General features: G+C 50.3%; 1 protein-coding gene and 1 long non-coding RNA gene across 2 annotated transcripts in view, besides 2 other annotated features; one reads left to right on the top strand and one right to left on the bottom strand.

Moving 5' to 3' along the window:
* Positions 2725–3388: an enhancer, noted in NCBI's record as "H3K27ac hESC enhancer chr16:11735633-11736296 (GRCh37/hg19 assembly coordinates)". NCBI's record gives its function as "activates a minimal SCP1, AML or CMV promoter by ChIP-STARR-seq in primed H9 embryonic stem cells {active_cell/tissue: H9 hESC(primed)}" and the evidence as "EXISTENCE:reporter gene assay evidence [ECO:0000049][PMID:30033119]".
* LOC124903643 (uncharacterized) lies at positions 3618–4703 on the bottom strand. Its single transcript, XR_007064986.1, has 2 exons — positions 4213–4703; positions 3618–3860 (listed from the first exon to the last, which is right to left on the bottom strand). It is a non-coding gene; the product is annotated as an uncharacterized LOC124903643 (long non-coding RNA).
* Positions 4338–4632: an enhancer, noted in NCBI's record as "tiled region #8349; HepG2 Activating non-DNase unmatched - State 1:Tss, and K562 Activating DNase unmatched - State 20:ReprD". NCBI's record gives its function as "activates a minimal TATA promoter and a strong SV40 promoter by Sharpr-MPRA in HepG2 and K562 cells {active_cell/tissue: HepG2 | K562}" and the evidence as "EXISTENCE:reporter gene assay evidence [ECO:0000049][PMID:27701403]".
* The window catches only part of LITAF (lipopolysaccharide induced TNF factor), a 92596-nt gene continuing 91443 nt past the window's right edge, over positions 4848–6000 (top strand). Inside the window, exon 1 of the mRNA XM_047434928.1 lies at positions 4848–5068. The gene's annotated coding sequence lies outside the window, so the exon portion shown is untranslated. The remainder of the gene's footprint in view (positions 5069–6000) is intronic.

The following is a 6000-nucleotide window of genomic DNA, read 5'->3' as shown; positions in this document are numbered from 1 at the left end:
TTTGCTTAACCATATATCCTGGAGACCACTGCATTGTAGGATAAGGAAACATTTTTTTTTTTTTTTTGAGATGGAGTCTCGCTCTGTTGCCCAGCCTGTAGTGCAATGGCGCGATCTTGGGTCACTGCAACCTCCATCTCCTGGGTTTAAGCGATTCTCCTGCCTCAGCCTCTTGAGCAGCTGGGATTACAGGCATCCACACCTGGCTAATTTTTGTATTTTTAGTAGAGACGGGGTTTTACCATGATGGCCAGGCTGGTCTGGAACTCCTGACCTCAGATGATCTGCCCGCCTCGGCCTCCCAAGATGTTAGGATTACAGGCGTGAGCCACTGTGCCCGGCCTTCTCATTTCTTTTTTCTCTTTCCTTTTTTTTTTTTTTTTTTTTTTTTTTTTGTGAGACGAGTCTCTCTCTATCTTCCAGGCCGGAGTGCAATGGCATGATCTCGGCTCACTGCAACCTCCGCCTCCCGTGTTCAAAGGATTCTCCTGCCTCAGCCTCCTGAGTAGCTGGGACTACAGGCGTGTGCCACCACGCCTGGCTAATTTTTTGTATTTTTAGTAGAGACAGAGTTTCACTGTGTTAGCCAGAATGGTCTGGATCTCCTGACCTCGTGATCCGCCTGTCTTGACCTCCCAAAGTGCTGGGATTACAGGCGTGAGCCACCGCGCCCGGCCTCATTTCTTTATATTGCTGCATAGTACTCTTCTGTGTGGCTGTGCCATAGATTATTCAACCAGTTCCTTCTTGGTGGATGCTTGAGTTTCTCACGTTATGCTATCACTAGCAGTGCCGCAGTGAAAAACCCTGTGTGTCTGTGATCTGGGGAATGGATTCCTCGTTCCCCTCAGGGGATTTTAAATCCTAACTTATGATACATGTTATGCAGGAGAGGTTCGTGGTGCTGTGGGATTTCATAACAGGGGCTCTGCCCTATCAGAGTAGTCACTAACAGCTTTTCTTGAAGAGGAGCTGGTGGTCACGCTGAGATCTGAAGGAAAAATAGGAGGTGATTAGATGAAGAGAGGAAGAAGCAGGCAGTAGCATGTGTTAAGGCTCCGCTGCCGGAGTGAGCCTGATACATTCGAGTAACTGATAGAAAGCTGGTGAGTTTGCAGCTCAGGAAGTGAGGGAAGGGATGGAGGGGACCATGTCTTTGCATGGGTTGGGGTCGGTGGAGATGAAAAGAAGTAGATGGCCGGGTGCGGTGGCTCATGCCTGTAATCCCACCACTTTGGGAGGCCGAGGCGGGTGGATCACCTGAGGTCGGGAGTTTGAGACGAGCCTGACCAACATGGAGAAACCCCGTCTCTACTAAAAATACAAAATTAGCCAGGTGTGGTGGCACATGCCTGTAATCCCAGCTGCTCAGGAGGCTGAGGCAGGAGAATTGCTTGAACCCGGGAGGCGGAGTTTGCAGTGAGCCGATCATGCCATTGCATTCCAGCCTGGGCAACAAGAGCGAAACTCTGTCTCAAAATAAAAAAGAAGAAAAGAAGTAGATGAATTGAGGTGACCAGCACGAGGCAAAATGCACAGAACTTGGTGATTTTATTAGTTGGGACACTGGTTCACCTGCCATTTTGAAGACTTAAAATAACTGGTTTAAACAACAAACGATTGTTTCCTTTTTTTTTTTTTTTTTTTTTTTTGAGACAGTTTCTTGCTATGTTGCCCAGCCTGGAGTGCAGTGGTGCAATCACAGCTCACTGCAGCCTCAGTCTCCTGGGCTCAAATGATTCTCCTACATCACCCTCCTGAGTAGCTGAGACTATAGGCGCCCACAACCACGCCCGGCTAATTTTTGTATTTTTTGTAGAGATAGGATTTTGCCATGTTGGCCAGGCTGGTCTCGAACTCCTAGCCTCAAGTGATCTGCCTGCCTCGGCCTCCCAGAGTGCTGGGATTACAGGCGTAAGCCACCACACCCGGCCTCTGTTTCCCTTTAACATAGAGTCAGTCCTGGTGTAAGTAAGTGTCGCAGCTCTGGTTTGGCTATTCCAAGGCATCAGGGACCCAGGCTCCTCCTACCTTGTTGCTCCATTTTCCCTAAACGATTGTCTTTGCTCTTATTGTCCAAATCGGATGGTCACCCTCTCCTACACTCCAACTGCCAGGAAGGGGAAAGGAGAAGGGAAGCTAATGATGGAGGTAGACCTGCCCTTTCCCTTAGAGACACATGCAGGGACCTGCGCAGTTCACTTTTGCACACATCCTATTGGCTAGAATTTAACCCCTTGGCCACACCTATATACAAGGGAGGCTGGGAAATGTGGTCTTATTTCTGGGTAGCTGTGCCCAGCTACGTATTGGAAGTCCTATTGCTTTGGAAGAAGGGGAGAGTGGATATTGGGGTGCAGAGTAGTCTGTGCTGTGCCCTGTGAGGGTTTGGGAAAGGTGGGGGGTGGGAGAGGGCAGTGGTAAGGAGGATATCTTGCTCCCCAGCTTTGAGCCTATGTGGGTGGAGGTGTCATTTGCCCAGGCAGGGGGCACAGAAGGGCTGTCTCTTTCTTTTTTGTCTTTTTTTTTTTTTTTTTTTTGAGACAGAGTCTCCCTCTGTTGGCCAGGCTGGAGTGCAGTGCTGGGATCTTGGCTCACTGCAGCCTCCGCCTCCTGGGTTCAAGAGATTCTCCTGCCTCAGCCTCCTGGGATTACAGGCATGGGCCACCATGCCTGGCTAATTTTTTTGGCATTTTTAGTAGAGACGGGCTTTCGCTATGTTGGCCAGGCTGGTCTCGAACTCCTGACCTCAGGTGATCTGCCTGCCTCAGCCTCCCAAAGTGCTGGGATTACAGGTATGAGCCACCATGCTCGGCCAGGGCTGTCTCTTTCTAACCCTGCACCACATGGTTTCATAAGAAATCTGGCCTTTGTGCACGATGTAGGGAGCAGAGTTCAGGATATTGGGGAAACTGAGGCTGAGGGATGCTCCAGTTTCAGCTGATTGGAAAGACAGGTTGAGCCCAAACCGTTCCTCAAGAAAACACAACTGCAAGACCAGCCCAAACTGGACCTACTCTGTTGATAACAGAAGGTCAAGTTACCTGGCAGATATAACTGAGCCAACACAGCAAGTCAGGTATCCCAGACATGCACAGTTGGAAAAGCTTTGATGTCTATCAACACCCAGAACTAGTGATTCCTCCGCGCAAAACCAAGAAGTCCAGGACATGCCCAGAACTTGACCACCGGAACTGTTTCAGAAGCGAGGGGTCCATTGGCTAGGAGGATCTGGGGTTATGCTTTGCCTCAACAGGCTCAGCGCGGTGGCTCATGCCTGTAATCCCAGCACTTTGGGAGGCCAAGGGCAGGAGTTAAGAGACCAGCCTGGCCAACATGGTGAAACCCCGTCTCTACTAAAAATACAAAAATTAACTGGCTGCGATGGCTCGCACCTATAATTCCAGCTACCTGGGAGGCTGAGGCAGGGGAATCACTTGAAGCCTGGAGGCGGAGGTTGCAGTGAGCCGAGATCACATCACTGCACTCCATCCTGGGCGACAAAGGGAGATTCTGTCTCGAAAATAGATAGATAGACAGACAGATAGAGAGATAGACAGAGAGATAGATAGATAAAAATAAAATTCTGCCCTTGGCCTCTAGGGGGCCATACTGGCTTGCTGCGAAGTCACGGTGTTTTTATTTTACTTGAGTGCTGTGCGGTTATTGGAATTCCTCTATCTGCTGGGTTGCTTCTGGCACCCACATCACCTGCGCATGGCCTGCTTTCTCCTGCTGATCGTGCTCGTCTGGAGCCTGCGGGCCCTTCTGCCCCCAGTGCAGTCTGTCCATCTGTCTGTCTGTCCTTCCGTCAGCATTGCTCCCTTGTTCCAGCTCTCTTTACTCTCTGAAAGGGGCTCCTGGGAATGGGGGTCAGGCAGGGGAGGCTGTACATGCCAGTATGTGGCCTTTACCCTTCCCCTCTTCCCCTCCCCTCTCTTTTTCTTTCTTTCTTGGAGACAGGGTCTCCCTCTGTCGCCCAGGCTGGAGTGCAATGGCATAATCACGGCTCACAGGAGCCTCGACCTCCTGGGCTCAAGCAACCCTCCTGCCCCAGCCTCCCATGTGGCAGATACTACAGGTATGCACCACCATGCTTGGCTGATTTTTTTTTTTAAATAGAGATGGGTTTCCTTATGTTTCCCAGGCTGGTCTTGAACTCCTGGGCTCGAGCCGTCCTCCCACCTCAGCCTCCCCAAATTCTGAGATTACAGGAGTCAGCCACTGCTCCCGGCCTGATATCATGACTGTGTTCTGTCTCCTCCACACACGGGACCTTGTTCCTGGCCACCCACAGCAAACCAGCTCTCTCCTCTCCCTGGGCTTGGCTTCCTTCTTTCCTGGCAGCATCTTTGCCAGTGTGCCGGCTTGAAAACAGCCGAACATGAGGAGGGGTGGTGTAGACTGACAGGGGCTCACTCAAACTTGAGGAGAAGCCAAGCTGGGGCTGAGTTTGGAATGCATGCCATGGTTACAGACGACGTCATTCTGCCCTTTAGCTGTGACTCAGCAATTAGGATCAGATTTCCCATCCCGAGGGTTGTCCTTGTGACCTGCCAGATGGATGATCATCACCCCCATACCAGCATCGAGTGAGAAGACCTCGAGCTGGGGCCTGCACAAGGGTGGCTGCAGCCGTGATGAAGTGGCAGTGATTTGCAGAGCCTTGGGCTGCCTCTCTGCTGCAGGGACTGTGACAAATCAAAGAGGAAGCCTTCTAGAGCCCTGCATCATGTGCACTTCTTGGCACTTGTGAAATATTTCATAATCCCAATTGCGTAGGTAGCTCCAGTTCTGCCGCCCACTGTCCGTGTGACCTCGGTGAAGTCACTTCATCTCTGAGCTTCAGTTTCCCAGGCTGCAGAACAAGTATCAGAGCGAGAACCCCTTCATTCGTTTGTTCATTCACTGACTTACACACTCAGTCGCTCCACGAACATGTGCTGAGCAGCTACTATGTGCTGGATGCAGTGCTCAGCCCTGCGGATCCAGCCGTGAATGCCTAATAAGGACCCAGCCCTGGCAGAGTGGACCTCCCTTTCTACTGAGAGGACAGTCAACAAACAAGGTTATCCACATCGACACATTGTTGGCCGGGTGCGGTGGCTCACACGTGTAATCTCAGCACTTTGGGAGGCTAAGGCAGGTGGATTGCTTGAGCCAGGAGTTCAAGACCAGCCTGGGTAACACAGTGAAACTATGTCTCTGCGAAACATACAAAAATTATCCGGGCATGGTGGCTCTCGCCTGTACTCCCAGCTACTTGGGGGGCTGAGAGGGTAGGATCTCTTGAGCTTAGGAGGCAGAGGCCCTGGCTAATTTTTGTGTTTTTAGTAGAGATGGGGTTTCACCATGTTGGCCAGGCTGGTCTTGAACTCCTGACCTCAAGTGATCCGCCCTCCTCGGCCTCCCAAATTGATGGGATTACAGGCATGAGCCACTGCACCTGGCCTAAAAAGATTATTTTAAAGATGAATCTTTTTTCTTTGCCCAGACTTTGGATGTCCTTTTCTCTCTGTTTCATTCTTTTTTCTTTTTTTTTTTTAAAAATCTTTCTTCCAAAGTTTTATTGTAAAAATGTCCAAATATAAAGAAAAGTTGAAAGAACTATACGGGGAATACCTATGTATACATCACCCAGATAACATTTTGTCCTATTTGTCCATCCATCTATCCATCCATTCATCCATCCATCCATCCACCCACCCATCCATGCATCCCACCCACCCATCCATCCCTCCCTCCTTCTAACCATCCATCCACCCATCTATCCACCCATGCATCCACCACTCACCCATTTATTCTTCCCCCCACTAATCATTCATTCGTCTACCCATCTATCCATGCCCCGTCTATCCCTCCCACCCTCTAACCACCCATCCATCCATTTATCCATCCATCCATTCCTCCCTCTAACCATTTATCCATCCATCCCTCTCTCCCTCTAACCATTCATCCATCTACCCATCCATACATCTACCCATCCATTTATTCATCCAT

This window comes from Homo sapiens, chromosome 16 (genome assembly GCF_000001405.40).
Source record: "Homo sapiens chromosome 16, GRCh38.p14 Primary Assembly".
In the NCBI taxonomy this organism is placed as follows: Eukaryota; Metazoa; Chordata; class Mammalia; order Primates; family Hominidae; genus Homo; species Homo sapiens.
Note: the sequence above shows the minus strand (reverse complement) of the source record. Positions and strands in the feature narration are given on the sequence as shown.